This window comes from Homo sapiens, chromosome 6 (assembly GCF_000001405.40).
Source record: "Homo sapiens chromosome 6, GRCh38.p14 Primary Assembly".
Classification (NCBI taxonomy): domain Eukaryota; kingdom Metazoa; phylum Chordata; class Mammalia; order Primates; family Hominidae; genus Homo; species Homo sapiens.
This window is the reverse complement of record NC_000006.12, coordinates 54,252,648-54,270,175: the sequence shown is the minus strand read 5'-3', so window position 1 is coordinate 54,270,175 and position 17,528 is coordinate 54,252,648. Positions and strand designations below refer to the sequence as shown.

At 35.6% G+C, this 17,528-nt stretch overlaps 1 protein-coding gene across 17 annotated transcripts in view, besides 1 other annotated feature; it reads right to left on the bottom strand.

Moving 5' to 3' along the window:
* Window positions 1-3,895: 3,895 nt before the first annotated feature.
* Window positions 3,896-17,528, bottom strand: part of MLIP (muscular LMNA interacting protein) — a 247,311-nt gene continuing 233,678 nt past the window's right edge. For 10 of the 17 annotated variants that reach the window (XM_047419509.1, NM_138569.3, XM_024446579.2 and 7 more), the window contains 2 exons: window positions 12,815-12,868; window positions 3,896-4,226 (listed from right to left, as the gene is read on the bottom strand). In XM_047419509.1, coding sequence (XP_047275465.1) covers window positions 4,221-4,226; window positions 12,815-12,868 — 60 coding nt within the window. In that variant the 3' untranslated portion in view covers window positions 3,896-4,220. Of the gene's footprint in view, window positions 4,227-8,371; window positions 8,542-12,814; window positions 12,869-17,528 lie in introns of those variants that run through there. The other 7 variants (XM_005249476.6, XM_005249480.6, XM_005249478.6 and 4 more) reach the window with 1 other exon arrangement.
* Window positions 7,009-7,765: an enhancer, noted in NCBI's record as "OCT4-NANOG hESC enhancer chr6:54127209-54127965 (GRCh37/hg19 assembly coordinates)". NCBI's record gives its function as "activates a minimal SCP1, AML or CMV promoter by ChIP-STARR-seq in naive and primed H9 embryonic stem cells {active_cell/tissue: H9 hESC(naive and primed)}" and the evidence as "EXISTENCE:reporter gene assay evidence [ECO:0000049][PMID:30033119]".

Sequence of the window (17,528 nt, the reverse complement as noted above, 5' to 3'; positions counted from 1 at the left end):
TTCCTTCTTTTTTTTAGCATTTATGACTCTTCCTCTGCCTGTTGTGTGGTTTTATTTTTTGAATTTATCCCCAGAGTTTCCAATTAAGGAAAATATGGACTCAGGTGCTTAAGTGATGTTGAGCAATTGTATATACATCTGTTAGAAAACTTTTATAAGAAATTAAAGCGTTTTTATTAAACTATAAAATGAAGAGAAAAGCCTATTTCTAGTCAAATAAATTGAAAATAATACATTTTAAAGTATGAAGGGAATAAAACATTTAATTTTACAACCTACCACAGGAATATATGAAATGTCCCCCAAATGTGCTATATATTTTAAACAAATCCAGAAATATTTTCTAACTACTAGTTGATTACTCTAAGACCTCTGGATTTACTCTAAGCAAAGCAATCTTTTCTTCTTATAAATCAAGTTATCATCTCATACAGTTGATTTAATTTCTAATTGATAAACAATTCACATGTAGAAATCTGCAGCAGTCTAGTTAAAGTAGAATTTTTGTTCCCTGTCCTAATTGCAGATTTTTCTGCTTGCCCAATAGATAAAGTTCTGAGAATATTCCCTTGTTACTTAAGCTTTCAATTATCTCTTTGTTTCTGCACTTTACTTCAGAGACTATGAAGAACAATATTCAAAAGACCTTCCATTTTCACCAAATTAAAATTTCACAAGAAAATAATGGGTCCCACCGGTGATGTGTAATGAAAAGTCCGAAAAAAACAAAAGCTTTATAAAGAGGGAAGTCACAGCCATAGTCACGTAAAGGTTAATAGTCAGACTTAAGAATTACTACCCTAGTTTCCTTTCCTCTAAACTGAATGAAGTCTGAGGACTGTTCAACCTGTGTCCTCAAATTTCTTAGTGGAAATAAACTACAGTAGTTGCCCAATGTAGTAACTGGCTTCCCTAGCTTACTTCCTCACTTCCTTATCAGTGTTTCCTATTATTATCTCCCAAATAAACTACTTACACTAAATCCTTGTCTTAGAGTTCGCTTCTGGAAGAACCCAAATAAAGATGCAGTCTCAGTACCTGGCAAATTCCACATCATCTGTCCCCATCTCCTTCCTCCTCAGAAACATACATAGTGCCCCCAACCTCCTTAGTGCACTGAATGTGCTGCTCACCAAACTGAAAAGTCACTAATTCATGTCCCATGTTCTCCCAATAATCAACACTTGCCTTTCCTATGCTCACGCTCTTAAGACTTTGTTCTTTACTGAGAAACTGAACAAATAAATTAAACCATGATGTTCAGATGCAGCAATTTGTAGCAATGACACAGTAGGAAAATCAAAAGACCTTGTGCTAGGTTTGTCATTCACTAATTTGGTGACCTCAGTCAAATAACCTGTCGGTCTCAAATGTTTCAGTAACAAGTGAAAGTTGTCAGAATCAAAATGGAGTCACAAACATTTAAAAACAAAAATCTGATAGAGCCAGAAACGGCCATGAAGAGAGAGTTCTCCTGCTACTATGCCTGATAAAAGCTATTACAGAAAACTCTGCAAAATCACAACCTTGTACAAAAGCCATGGGAAGCTTATACAACAAAATATTTCTACAAGGACAGCAACTGCCTATCCAATCTTGAACTGGTGTCACCTTTGTTACTGATATTTGCAGTTAAGGATAATTATTTCAAAATTATCATGTAATCCTCCTCATTTTTTCCTTTAAAATTCTTTATTGTTTTTTACTTCCCTTAATATGCATGCAAATAGTTTACTATAGCCTATGTATACCCACCGCAATATTCTACTCCCAAATAAATTTCTTTTTCTTTTAAGGGCCTCACTCTGTTATTTAGGTTGACAAATGAAATGAAGATAATAATACTTGACTGAAAATTGCAATGAGTTAAAGGGTATAAAAGTCTTAGAGAATTGGAAAATATAGGATGAATAGGACACCACGTCAAACAACCTTCCCATTTTAAGAGTTGCCTCCAATGACATTGGATCCTAATGTTTCAAAGATCAGACCTTCAAAGGTGGAAAGGTACTTGGGGATATAAGAAACCTAATGCATTGCTGATGGGAATAAAAAATGGTGCAGCTACTCTAAAAAGTAATCTGGGAGGATTTCATCAAATTAAGTACATGGGAACTTCAGGATTAAACAATTCTAGTCCTATGTATGTATTCCAGAGAAATTCTCACAGAGGTCCACAAGGGGGCACATGCAAGAATGTACATCACAACAGTTGGTACAGGAAAACAACCTGAGAGACCAAGGCTGGGCGGGTAGATAAGTAAAATGTGATGAGACTCTACCACGCAGCTGTGAGAACACAATATAATAGATGTCTATAGAGCAATGTGTATAAAGCTTTAAAAACAGAGCTGAGTAGAAAAAAACAAAAAAAAAAAACAGAATATAAGCAATACCATTTATATTTATTAAATATATATGCAGACAAAACAATGTACATCTTCAAAACATATATGAGCAAAAGATATACATTAAATAAATAAGAATGTGTGCATACAGCAGAGAAGGGAAGATAGAAATTCTTATAAATGATGATCATTAATCAACAAGCATACATGAGGGGGGCTTGCCCAAATTTGTGACAGAAATCTGCCATGAGCTGAGGAGTGTAATCAAGTCACCCTTTTACACTGGAGATCCAAAAATGACTGCGTAAATAACTACACAAATGATTGAGTAAGTGGCTTGGTCTTAGAATCAGATTACTTGGACTTGAATTCTGCCGCTGCCACTTACTAGCTTAATTTAACCATTTGGAGGAGCCTGTTCTCACAAAAATAAAATATGGATAATAATATTACCAACATCACAGGCTCATTGTGGAGGTTAAATTACATTCATGTAAAGTACTTGGTGTGGTGCATTGCTCATGATAAGAGCACAGTGAATGTTAGAGATCATTATTAATAATCTAAAGTGATGCTCCACACAATTTATCAGGTTGATGGAGAAATGGTTTTTTTGGGGGGAAGGAGAGATGAGCAGAGGGCTTTATTGAGCCTCCTTTGCTTCTCTAACACCAACAAAGGGGACATTGAGAAGTATTTATTTCCATTTGTCAAATAATAGCTGAAATTAGAACATTCTAAAATGGCTATTGGAGAATGAAGGAGCCTAGTTGCTCTTCTATAGGTCACTCTCCCTGCTTGAGTTTGGGTGATGGGACTGGGTGATGAAGCTTGATTTAGGGGCACTGTGGCTCAGAGCTGGCTCCACAGAGAACATGGGCAATGTGCAAAGAGTGAATGAAGCCAGTTTTCCCAAGACTGCTTTACCATCAGGGGCTCACTGTCCAGACTCCTGTTCTTTCTTAATGTGTGTTATCCTAGGCTTCCCATATGAGCAGAAGAAGGAAATCACTTAGAGGGGGCTAGGACAGACTGCTGGGGATGACAACTGGGAAATAAATTGAAGATGGCCAACACGGTGGGCACATGATGTGCCTCTAGGGGGCTCTCAGGACTGTCATCAAGTATGGGTTTGCTCTATGGTCTCTGCTGCTCTCAGGATTTTGGATACAAACTAACTCTAAAGTAGTCTTCACAAGAATCATGTGGTGACAGGCAGAGAGACAGTGGTATCCCAGACACAGACACTCCAGTAACGCGATGTTCATCAGCACTGGGCTGCTCCTGGCACATAGTCTGTCCCAGCAGCACCGAATCCCAACAGAACAGGAAAGCAATGTGTGTTATACAAAATACCAACTTTCTCATGTTCAAGATCTCACCAGAGAACCTCTGAATATCAGCGTCTTCTGAAAGCTAATTAGTTACTTTAAAAGTTGTGATTTTTTTCATGTAAAAAAGTGAAGTAAAAGGGGAATAAAAACCTGACTCAGTTAGAAATGTATGCATTAAATAAAATTTGTATTGAAAAATAGTCACAGCCATTCTTCTATTTACCCACGATTCTTCTTTATTTGGCTGCCAAATATAGGGGCACGTTAGTATTGCGGTCAGCTTAATATTAAGTAGAAGGCATTAAAGGCTAGAACAGTGGTGCAAAAAGCTGTAGGTAAATCTCTTCTATGCTGGCTGTTAGCAGAGCACTGTGATGCTATATAATTGCAGCAAACTTTTTTTTTGGTTCTGCTGCACTGCAGCTCATAAAGGGAGCACTCATTCTGGAAAAAAAAAAAAAAGTTAAATCTAGCAAGTGGTTAGCACCAGCATTCCAAAAAACTTCAGCAGCCTGTGTTTTCAGCCTCTGCTCCAACTTCATTGCTGTAAAATAAGAGAATATGGTAGTCAGGTTAAGATGAATAAATTTAAAAATATACACCTGAAAATTATACATTAATATTTGGGCATAGCATCTCCTACAAAAAAATGGTTTATACTACAATAGGAAAAGCTTATTTTTATTCCTTAAGTAGATCCTTCCTTGTTTCACTATTAATGGCATAATAAAGACAAACAGCTGTACCTTTACATCAGACTCCAATCTCTTGGCAGTTCAGCAGAGCAGTTCTGGCCTCCTACAAAGTGCCATGATGGTTTTGAGGGGCAGGGGCTGCCTTAAGGAACAGCACTGTTATATCTCACCCACACCCACACCCTTCCATGACTTGGCTGATGACTTAACTTCACTTTAGCATTGACTGCACCATTCCCTAAAATGCATCATCTAACAAGGAGGTAAACTGAATAGGGATTGAATTAAGTCCCAGCTTTTGCAAAAAGGAACATTACAAAAGACCAAGACCAAATAACCTCTCGCTTTTCTTCATATATTGATTTGCTTGATCTTACAATTTTGCTCTGTGGTAGAGGAGTGATTCCAATAATTTCTTTACCCATTCAGTCTCTCTGTTCCTATATGATAGGGTTGAACTGTCTGGAACAGATAAGATAAACTTAATTGAGTGGAAGATGGCTATTGGCAACTGTGAAGGCAGATTATACAAAAGAAAGTATAAAAGAAAATATCAGAGATGAAGCAAGAAGAGAAATATAGTTCTAAGACATGTCTCTGATAGAACAATGTGACGGAATAACACCAATGGAGGAACTGACCAGAACTTTCTATTTCCAGGTTCCAACTCATGACTAACATGGGAACCTTCCGAAATGCCTGGTAGAAAATAAAGGAGGTCAGTTGCCTTTCTGTAGGCAACTGTCTGTGCTTTGCCCTCAGCCAGATCATGAGGTGAAGAAGCAGTGGTGACTTAGAGCTGGCTCCTATGTGCAAGGTGAATGTCTTGGCCAAGCAGCTAAACAGGATTGTGAATCGCGGTTACATTCTGCATTATTATGAGAAAGTATATTTTAGACTAGAAGAAGGAGACAGATAAAAAGCACTAACAAAGGGGTGGCTCATGACTGCTCTGGTTTGTTCTGGCCATAGAAAATCAACAGGCAAAAAGTAAGAAGTAAGCTGTAGCTTTCATCATCTGGAATTCTCTGAAGCCCTAGAATGAAGGGAGGAAATGACTCAAGTACATCTGCTCATTAATTTTTCTAACAAATAAAAATTACCATTATTTTGCTTTTTCTGAAAGCACCAACATGATTTTTCTTAAAGTACCAGCATTTAGTAGTTAATTTTACAGAGGTTTAAGGAAATGATCATCATTTGGCTAATACTTTTTAAGTGCCATGTATTTTATATGCTAAGCACTTTACATACACTTAGGCAGACCTTCACGATCATTTGATTCCATTTTACAAAGAATAAAATTGAAGCTCAGAAGGAGTCAATATCACACCCAAGGTCATAGTGCTCCAAATTAAACCCCAGCTTATTCCACGTTTTATATTTGCTTTTGTTGTTCACATAGCCATTACTTAGTTTGTCTTAGTCAAACTAAAACCTATATTGAGTTTGGCTTCTGAAATGGTGAACTCTGTTACCAGGAGAGGTTCAATAGAAGATATATGAGCATATATGATGTAGATGGGATTATAACATTAAATAAAATATTGGAATAAATGCCTTCTAAGTTCCCTCTGAAATATAAAATTTTATTATAATAGGAATCATTAAATCAGATTGAAGCACCATAGGCAGATCATCCTCTGATGCCATGCCAGCAAGCTTAGCACTATTTCTCAGCTCTTCCCGAACCCACCAGCAGGTCAAATAAATGTTTGGCCCCACAATTTAGCAGCCAGTTGGAAAAGTTGTACTATGCTATGACAGCTACAGCCATCGTTTTAGACACTTTGTGAAGTTTTTACTGGGTTTATTTGCCAATCTCATTATAGGTAAAGAGCTAAAAAACTTGGGAATAACAAAGGTGAACATGTAAGAAAAGTGAGAATCATCAACAAATAAATCAATTCTATTTTCAAACTAGCACACTGGCAGTTAAGGCTCAGTATTTTATTATATTGCCAATGAAACAACACACTTATTTTGGATATAAGAAAATACAAGCAAGAAAGAACTTAAGATGCTTTGGAAGTCATAATTCTGGAACACAGTCAAACTCAAAATCTTGGTTTTTTTTTAAATTCAGAGTTAACCTTGGGTAATAGGTAATATATTCTTCTGAAACATTAAGCCAATGTTACAGAAAGCATTTTTTAAAAGAATGTGCTGTGTGAGTTGGTTTTTCATTCCCATTAAATGCAACATCAAATATGCATATTCTTTACTGCAAAATGAAAACAAAATAACCTACACATGTGTTCTTGTGAATATGAAATTAGGCTGCATGTATTGAGAACAAAAAGCCATTTCCAAGAAATGTGTATCATAATATGATTAAATGCTGCATGTTCTTTTTTTTTCCTGAAAGATTTCAAATGTTTTGTGCATTTATGTAACTATTGACTTTGGTGAAAAAAGATAAAATCTGGTATCAGAGTTTATTATCCATAAGCCAGAAGCTATAAAACGTTCAGTAATTAAGGTCCTATAAAGGCAGCCTCATAGATAAAGGATGCAGGTACAATGGACTCTAAAGAGTAAAATGTTGAATCTGGGGTCAAAACCATGTGACATCTGAATGATGTGAGTTCCAAATAATTATTAACCCTGATCTTAGTGTTTTGTTTGTTTCTCTTGGAAACTAGAAATAGTCTTCCCAAGCCACCACACAGAGGAGTTGTGGGTCCTTTTAGTTCCTGACTTCTGCTCAACTTGACAATGACTCACTACAATATCAAACCCAACTTTAATCTGTTGAGATGACTTTGAAGGAGAGACCCCAAAATTGTCAAACGCCCACTTCTCCTATAGTAGATTTAACTGAGTTTCTAGAAGAGAAAAATAAATGAGACCTGTTTCTTTTTATTGGCTACTTCAGAACCAGACTCTCTCTGATTTTAATTCTGGTTCTTGCCAACCAAGTGTAAGAACAATTGGAAATTCAAAAAGAAAGGCTTAATTCTTGCTGCTGAGCATAAGGGGAGAGATTTCCCTCCTCCTTCTTTTTCTTAAAGCATTTACTTTAGAAAACTCATCATTGTAAGTACTTTCTCCTCTCTTTGAAATGTATACAAATTCTTTTGAAAACAGGTGGGCCTTTTGTCAGGCCCTGAAAAGTCTCTTTCAAGGACTTGAGAACCATGTCCTTTAAATGTAAACAACCAAGAAAGACATCATCCCCATCTGCCAGTTTCCAGGGAGGATAAGACTCTAACTTTAGCTCAAGCCTGGCTCAAAGTTATGAAACGACCCCATGTCCTAAAGATATGAGAAGTTTACTTTACCTTGTGTAAAGCCAGACACAGATTGTCATCCCAAATTCCAGGTGAACTTAAGATGAACTATGTATAATTAACGATGCTGTCATTTTTTTCTTACTTGAGGACCAACTTAATTATTGTTGATCTTGAGAATATGTATAAAATGGAGTCTATCTCCTTGGCTATACGAAGGGTGAGATTTCTTCTCGTCTTTGCAGTCTATTAGCAGATTGCCTATGATGCACATCACATTCTGGTTCAATGTTATTCAATAACAAAAAGGGTTTTCTTTCTCTACTACCCTAGTGAAGGGAACTTCTGGGTTAGCAGAAAGGTTTTGTTTTGTTCTGTTTTTAAATTACATTTCCCCAACACAGGTTGGGGGCTTACAACACAAGAAAGTCATTTTGATGGGTCCATTGCTATCAAATCCGAGTATAGGAATATCCTTTCCTTTATTATTTCCCTGCTCACCTGATGACTGGGAAAGGTGGCTATCTACTCAGGTACCTGTATCAGGTGTCTTTATTTTTATAAGACAAATTTACCCTGGCCCTGTAGCCATTTGTCTATCAATGCATAGGAATCTTCTTTTAATCAACAGGTAATAATATCCAGATTCCAAATTCTTGCCTAAGATTACAACCTTCAACTCTCAGCAATCCAAGATGTATCAAAGCTTCATTTTGAGAAATAATGTTTTGGAAAATTGCCTGAAAAGAATAGAGTGGGCCTTTTTCTCTTGATAATTTTATTTTTACCCTTGAATCAAACCAGAAAATGAGAGTGGCTTCCACGGGCAAGTAATTTATTTTCTCTTTTCTATGTTCTCATCCAGAGGATAAAGTCAGAGGAATGGGATGGCTGCTTTATACTCTTAGAACCTTAGACATCAGTGGAGGTTCTGAAATTCAAAATAAAATAAACTCAGAAAGCTTATATACCACCAAAGTGGCAAATCAGTCATAGTCACCTTGCTAACAGAATTGTTATGTTGTAAACCATTAAATGTTTATCAAAAATCTGCAAAGAGAAGGAATAAGAAAACACAAGAATTTGCCTAGCATGTGTTTTATGGGCAGCTAGTGAACGATTAGCTCTCAAGTTGTGTTAATAACAAATGAACCTGAAAGGTCAGAACCAAATGCATCTAATCATGTTTTGGGAAATCAATTGATCTTCAATTTGAAAATAAAATGCAGTAGTCATAGGGCTGCATGTAGCAGGTAATACAAAGAGGGGCGGTCTGTTTATATCTCATTCTGCAGTATGACTTTCACAAACAAGTCTGCAGAAGGAGAAGTAGTTTATGGAGTGGTTGTGGATAGAAGAGTTGCTGAACTTACAAGATGAGAAATACAATAAAAAATAATTGTCACTACTAGAATTTAATTTTCTCCTAAGTAACTCAACTCAGAAATCATTTATCTTAGTCAACGAGTATGCTCTGCCTGTATGGTGTTAAATATTCACCTTCTTAGAAATTACTGCATTGGTGTGAACAGTAAAAATCTATGAAAGTATTCTTCTTTGAAAATGAGCTGACACAATGGTCAAATCAATTATTTACAGATCTCATCTGCTTGTATGGAGTTTCATCAGTGACCATGTATTTTAAGTGTCATATAAAGTACAAATAAAACACTGTTTGGAATGCCCTAAGCCTCCAGACTCGGCTTGCACCAAATGCTATGCCAGCCCCATCCTAAGCAATTTCCAAACCTTGTATGGAATGTCAAGGCAAACAAAAATAAAGTATTAAATTTTACTAATGAAATTACAGTGGATCTCAACACAGAACAGATCTCTCAAAATTAATCTACCACAAATTAAAGCACATGTTATTCATTTAAGCCTTTGGACAGGAATTTGTTGTCACTCAAGTTTTTAGAAATTGAAATCATTCACTGCAACAAATTCTTTCATGATCCTCCTACTTTTACTTTCTATTTTGTGTTTTCAGGGTTGAATGATGGATTTATTTGATTGGCCTTCCTAGACTGCCAATGAAGGAACTATAATTTGAAGATCTCAAACTTTGATGCATATTTGAATAATCTGAAGAGATTTTAAAACATACAAATACCTTTGTCACCTATAAAGTTTCTTGATTTATTAATTTGTCTGGAATGGATTTCTGTCATATGACAAGGAAGTATATTTATCATTGGTGTGTTTCAAAAGTCAATTACAGATGATTCTAATGTTCAGCCAGGGTTGAGAACCACTGAGCTAGATGTTAAGTGGAATTTTTTTTTTTGAGTTAGTTCCTTTTAAATGAACTTTAGAAATGATGTGAGTTACAAAAATGATGAGTAAGTCAAATCTGATATATCTAACATCTGTTTGTATTTAAATGAATTACTGAGTTAATTTTAAAAAGGTAGTATCTACAAATAGCCTGATTTGATTCAAGAAATGACAGTCTGGTAGTAAGCAAGACAAACTAATGTCTTTAGGAAATGAAAGAAAAACCAAGAGGAAAATAATGAGATACCATCAAGGGCTTTTCCATAATTTTTTATTTGCACTGGGTTTGTAACTGAAATGGTTTATTCCTTTAGGTCATATAGTCATAAGAACAGAATTGCTTTATAAAACTGATGTTTCTTGGTTGTTGTTGAAGGTAAATAAATAACAGAGAAAAGGTTTGGGGGAAATATATTGGTCAATATTGGTCTGACCACACATCATAAGAAGTTGTAAAAAGTTGCTAAATTGCTCCAAAATGTGCCAATATTACTAAGAAGTAAAATACAGAACACTGGAATCACAAAATGGCCTTTTCCTTAATTATTTACATTTTTTACTAATAATAGGTATTGTCTCTCACAAATGTTAAACTTCAAACTGTAAATGACATTTTTCGTATATTCCAAACCTGAATCAAAATCATTTTATGGCAATCTTATCCACTATCTTAATTTTAAGTTTTGTCTCCAGGGTTGTGATAATTGGTGTGAAAAAATGCAAGTACTACATCTATACCATTCTCTTTGGCTCACAAAGTCTTTTGCATTACCTAACATTCAGTAGTTCTCAATTTATTATCTGAACTGGCTGTTTTTGTAATTTAAATAACCAATTCATTTTCTCTTTTTTGTGTAGGAACACTCTTATTGTGTAGATATAGTCAATGTGAACTTGAACCAAAATTATTGTATTTGAAAGAAATACAAAGTTTCCTATTTTTTATATTCATCTGAAATGGGCAAAATCTATTTAATCATTCTTCTATTTCTGAAAGTATATATTTTTCTAATTTTTCACTATTACACAATTTGCCACTATCATACTGAAAGAGCTAACACATTTGACAAAAAGTTATTAACTTTAATATATAAAAATGGAGTTTACCACTCAACAAAAATATATTACCATACCAATAAATGCATAAGATAATGCAAAAACAAAATAGATTTAAAAAGACAAAAATAACAGAAGAAATACAGAATTTTAACATGCAAATTAATATTAAAAAGTAACTTTCCCTTTTAATTTGGCAAGTATTTTAAACGTGATTTTAAAAGAGAAAGAATTAGATCATATAGATAGAAATATAAATTTAAATAGAGAAATTTGGATAAATATCTTTATCTAAATTAAAAATCCTAATTTAGATTAATTTAGATACCAGACAGAGAATAATAGAGTGCCCAAGAGGCACAGACTGCAGGCTGTCAGATTTGGATTCAATTTCTGATTGTGGAGACACTTCCTAGCTATTTGACTTTAGACAATAGATTAAGTTCCTGCAGCTTTAGTTTCCTCATCTCTAAAAAGAATAATAATAGTAGTTAACTTAAGAATGTTTTATGAAAATTAAGTAAAACAAAGTGCATAACACTGTTTCTAATGTATAGTAACCTCTCAATAAACTGGGAATTATAATAATTCTCAATGCTGCCAAGACTGCATGGAGACAGATATTATTATAACACACTCCTCATGTGGTAAATTACTACAATTTTCCAGGACAGCAATTTGGCTACATGTGTTGAGAGTCTTCCATATGTTCATAATCATAAAACCAATAATCCTATTTTTACAATATTATCTTAAAAAGTAACCAGAGATGTGGTCAAGGATATAAATGCATACCTATTCATAACACAACTTTATATTTTAATGACTAATGTTACAGCAAAAAGCCACATCAGTCTTATACTATGACAGAGCTTTTTAAATTTGCAGAAATAGGGATGCCAGTTTAGGAAATGTAGATAGTATGCCCTAAATTGTGGAAAATATGGCTTGGAAAACAAAATTCAAATTATACGTGGAATTTTATTATTCTTACTTCTCTTTTATATTATGCTTGTTTCTTCCTAAACTTGGAGGCTGCAAAATTAAGCATACTTCTTTTGTGAGGGTATTTTAAATGAATGTGTGAGCTCACCCAGTCCCTTCTCAGAGATAAGTTTTTTAAAATCACTTTTTTTCTCCTATTTTCCACTTTATCTGAGGGGATGTAAAGAAGAAAACACTGTTCAGTTATTCTTGCTCTTGAGGAATACAAAAGTAAACCATAATGAGAACATTTCTTTACAGAATTTTTCTTTGTTTCTGTGGTATAGCATTTTTTTAAAAAAAGAAAGTTGTTTGAATTTACTTTTTACTTATCAGCTCAAAACTTTAGATAAACATTTACATGAAATGTAGAGGCTATGATTGAGCTGATATGCCTTTGTCTAAAAGCTGCATGCCATATATAAAATTCACTTGGGGAAGGTGGGGTTGGGGGTGCTCAGTGAGCCTAGCACTCATCTTCCTATGAACTGAAACTGAGATACCATGAGATACTGTGACTCTGACCCTGAAAACACACCATATGGATTATGGGACATCCATTGACCCTCTAGAGAAAGAAGACAATGGTGATTTCACATATGAACCCAAAAAGGAAATCACAAAGACAGGCACTTGGGGTAGGAGTTGGTTTGTGGTCCAGGTATCAGACACGGGGAACTCTAGTGCTACCTTCTACATTGAGAGGCAGCAAGAATTTACTTATTTCACTATCAAATCCTTGTGACTGACAGAGTGAAACAGTTAGTAATAATTCTTTCTTTTGTTATAAAAGCACAATTTTGTTAACATTAAAAAAATAAGATTGGTTTATTTCTATAATCACACAGAAATGGATAATTAGATATCCAGTCCTATCTTACATTTACCTCTTTGGAATCAAGAGCTTCATGTTCAGGAATAGCCACCATTGGATGACTCAGCTTCACAGAAAAGATGCCCAGGATATGATCAGGAGTAGAAGTGAGAAAAAAATAAATGTTAAAATTTCATTTAAACAGATTGACAATGACATAAATATTTTATTGCAGATAACAGTGGATTCTACCAAGTATAAACACTAAGATTCAATTGTCACTAAAAGACAAAAGGAAGATATTTTGGCAGAGGGTGAGTACTCTGTGTATAAGACCACATCTTATTTATTTTTATGTCACACATCAACTCTAACAGTGCTTAGCATATAGCATAGGCCTTCATTAATTATGTATGTAATGAAGGAATCGTCAAAATGCACTAACAGATTTCATAGAGAGGAAACAAAGTTAAATTTATGCTTCACCTCTCAGATAATAGGCCTCTAACTGAAAAGCTCCAAAGCAACAGCAACAAGTCATGTTCAGACCCACGGTAAGTGTAGATGCATCTATAGACAGTACTTACTGGAAATGTAAAATATTGTGCTTTATTGTGACTATTAATAATCTCAATACATACAGACTTCATAAACATTGTAATCTCACCAGGTGATGTTATTATAATGTAATTTATATCATAGAGACACTTTAACAGAAGAGAAGGTCTTTTGTTATGTGGGAATTTTTATTGCTATGTGGGTCTTCTGAGAGCTACACATAAACTTCATAAGATAGAAGAAAGTCATCAATATGCAAGAAAGAGACAACCTAAGAGACACACACAAAGAGAAGGGGAGAGCAAACGTTTGTAATGAAATCTGTTTACCCTTTTTTGGTATTAACCATTTATCCTAGCTCCAGCTTTAGAATCACCACAGATCCAGTTTGACAGGAATATTTCTTATTTCTGCCATCCTTCCCGGCAAACCAGGGCTATTGAAATGATTGGACCCCTTTCACTTTCAACAGGGTCTTGCTTTGGGCAAAAAGTCCATGGACAGAGATCAGCTCTTAAACCCCCAGAGCAATTTGAAGGAGGCCAGTAATTTAGCCTACCCAGGGGAAGACTCTAACCTTGGCTGCTAGGGAGGCCAAGGAGGTCTCCACCTGACATTTCCTCAGGTTTCCCTTTGTTCCAACAGACATTCAAGAATGGAGCCAGTTTTTGTTTAAAGTTATAGCTTCACTAAATCCAAGCCCTTACACTCTGTTCCCAACTATAAAATCCTTTGGGTATCATAGCAACAGGACTCCTTCTAGCTGCCTGAGACCATTGCTTTAAATAGAAGCATGATCTGGCCCTAGAGCCAACTAGAAATCTAAATAGAATTCCAGGAAGCAGCTGGAAGCACCTACTTTCTCCTGTTCATCAGAGTCTCCTGAGATCCTAAGTATGGCTTAGGATCAGACTCTAGGTACTGCTTCAAACTTCAAACCCAAGTGATTTATCCTGGAAATAGCACAGTCATTGGTATAAGTAGGTTAAGTAGTACAATATCTATATGAATCATCACAGTTTGTACAATGTCAAACGTCCAACCTTCTAATCTCCTAAAACAGAAAAGAAGAATCATCTTGAAATTTTAAAATCTTGGTAATATCCCAATAAAGCATTCAACTGAGATTAGAAAAGCAATCGAGTCATTATGTGATGCCTACTGTTATATTCCATTCTTCCTTTCTAATACAGGTATTCAGTAATTTTAATCCATTTTATTTTAATCTTGAATTTCAAAAACTATGTGTTGATTATCCTAATCAATGAAAGAGAACAGAAAATGACTGATCCTAATGAATTGGTAATCCTCAAATCATTTATATTTAGCTTTGGCATGCTTTCTTCTGTTTATGATCTTTTATCACAGTAGATTTGCCTTTTTAATATTCTTAAGCTGACTAAAAATGTGATATTAATGTGTTGTGAAGATTTATGGATTTAGTCATAATAATTTATTACATACTCACATAATAAATTCTTTATATGGGTTTGTTCATTTAGTTTTCACAACAACCTGGTAAGGTGAGCACTAGTAATACTCTGTTTCACAGATGAGGAAACTAAAGCACTGAGAGGTAGAATAACTTGTTCAAGGCCCAAAACTAGTGAGTGGAACATCCATGCTGGAATCTAGACTGAGAGTATGCAGAGACTGTGCTCTCAAAGCAAGTATGAGGTGGCAATATGCCCATGGGAAGTTATGCAGGAAAAAGAAGCAGGGAAGACAGAGAGACAGGGGAAGTGAATGGAGTATGACATATAGTAAAGGGAAAAGCCAGGCACTGAAGTCAAGGGTGTCCCATTCTCAGACCAAGAGCATCTCAGGGCTGGCTGGTATAACTATGAAAGGCCACACAAGAGACACAGTATAATGGAGCTTATATGTCAGATGAGGAGTCTGAGCTTAATTATCTTAGGCAGTGAGAAGTCGTTCAAGTACTTTAAGTAGGGGACACGTGTGGTCATGTGGTCAGATTTCTCATTTCAAAAAAAGTTACTGTGGCTGATGTGCAAAATATCGAAATATGTGGATTGGAAGATATTTAAATAATGCATGAGAGATGTGGCGGCAGGGCAGGAAAGTGGGGGGGGAAGGGAGGGAGGAAGGGAAGGAAGGAAGGAAGGAAGGAAGGGAGGGAGAAAAAAAAAGAAGATTCTAATAAAAATATGATCTCAGAAAATACAATAGACTCAAGTTTTCTGGGTAACTCTAGCCTTCCTACTTTCCAGGATGAGCAAAGAAGCAGAGGGTAGATATGTTGCTATTTTGTTGATTAAGGAAGAAAAACTGGGAACAGAGAGAAATGTTGAATGCTAAAACCTCTGCCAACTGCAGAGGCTTTGTAATGCATGAGGACTAGAGATGTCAAATGGGGAGGACAATAACACACAGTATGAAAATTTTGCCAGTCAGAATGGAAACAGTGAAACTAAGCATTAAAACAAGTACTGACTGGGTGTGGTGGCTCACACCTGTAATCCCAGCACTTTGGGAGGCCTAGGCGGGTGGATCACAAGATCAGGAGTTTGAAACCAGCCTGGCCAACATGGTAAAACCCCATCTCTACTAAAAATACAAAAATTAGCTGGGCATGGTGGTGTGCGTCTGCAGTCCCAGCTACTCAGGAGGCTGAGGCAGGAGAATTGCTTGAACCCGGGAGGTGGAGATTGCAGTGAGCCAAGATCACGCCACTGCACTCTAGCCTGGGTGACAGAGCAACACTCCACGTAAAAAAAAAAAAAAAACAGCAAAAAAACAAGTTCTACGTAGGTGAATGGCTTGCTATGCAGAGAGTAGATTAATATTACAGGACAGAGAGAGTCATCCAAGCTGGCATACTTGATGGTAAACACTGTGGAAAACAAACTACTATGTTGCCTCAAAGAAAAAAATAACTAAAAAGTTACTGATATTAACATGAGAGCATTATTTAACATGGAAAGATAAATGAAATGGAAAATTCAAGAGAATTGAGACAAAGCACGCTTTTCATCCTGGATAGAAAATCCAGTCCTAGATATTGTATAACAGATTAACCCAACCTTTGTTCACTCACCACTGTTGGATAAACACATTTGAATAAAACATTCAGTTGATTTTTATTACACTTTTGGTCACAGCTGCCACCAAACTAACATAAAGCCTTGTGAAGTGTTTGTCACTAGCATGCTCAAAAATATCACTGCCTCTTCCAAGGTAATATAAACCACACTCACAAAGAGATAAAATCCCCTCACACCAACTGAAGAAATGAAAATGTAACAACTAGAAAAAAAATAGGCAAAATGTGGTTAAATCAGTTAATTAAGTCTTTAATGTACACAAGACATGAAATTTAGAGCTTTAGCTTTTGTGAAACAGTTCTCTCTTTTTGAGTGGAGATAAAGTATGTTTTCTGGACTGCCCGAAATTGTGAAGCTGAGGGAGTGTTACGGGAAGTTTTAACATTTTAAAATCACCATGGGTGCCATACATTCCATCCAGAATTCACTTCTTTAGGATTGCTTTTATGTTCAACCACATCCTCTTGTCAACCTCCTTCACACCATTTGTCTTCAGTCATCTGTACCTTCTGCTTCTGTCTCTCCACTTAGATTTCTGAACTGCTAAGACAGAGCATAACCTTCTCAAGACCATCCCTCAAAAGCGACATTACAAATTATTGCAGCAATACCCACATCAAATACTGTCTGTTTCATAAGTCTAATGTTGTCATTACAAGACTAGATGCCATTGGAAGTCATAGATTATAAATAACTAAAACTAACTCGTTGTTAGTTGTTCTGTACTTAGCATAGGACCCAACCAGTACAGAGTAGACACTGAATGAATAAATTAATAAAAGAAAGGAAGAATTCGATGGCTACAGAAAAGAAACAGTTTTCCGACTTGTAAAATTAAAGAATTCTGAGTTAGTGAGGCCTTAGGAAGTATGAACTGAATGCCTAAAAGACATCCTTTGTATGAGATTTTGAAAACTGAAGATCCTTCAAGTAGAACTATCACACAAGTAAGTTCTATTTGATCCTCATATTTCTTTTGCTTTAAAAAGAATTAAATTTAATTGTCAGTGTTTAAGTCCATAGATCATACATGCCGGTTTGTTTTTCTGGTTTCTCTTGAACTGTTCAAAGATCTTCCAACACTAACCTTGCAATTTTGTGACTCTGGACAGTAGCCTGTGCCTTTTAGATGAAGCTAAAGATCTCATATAAACATAGTCCCCA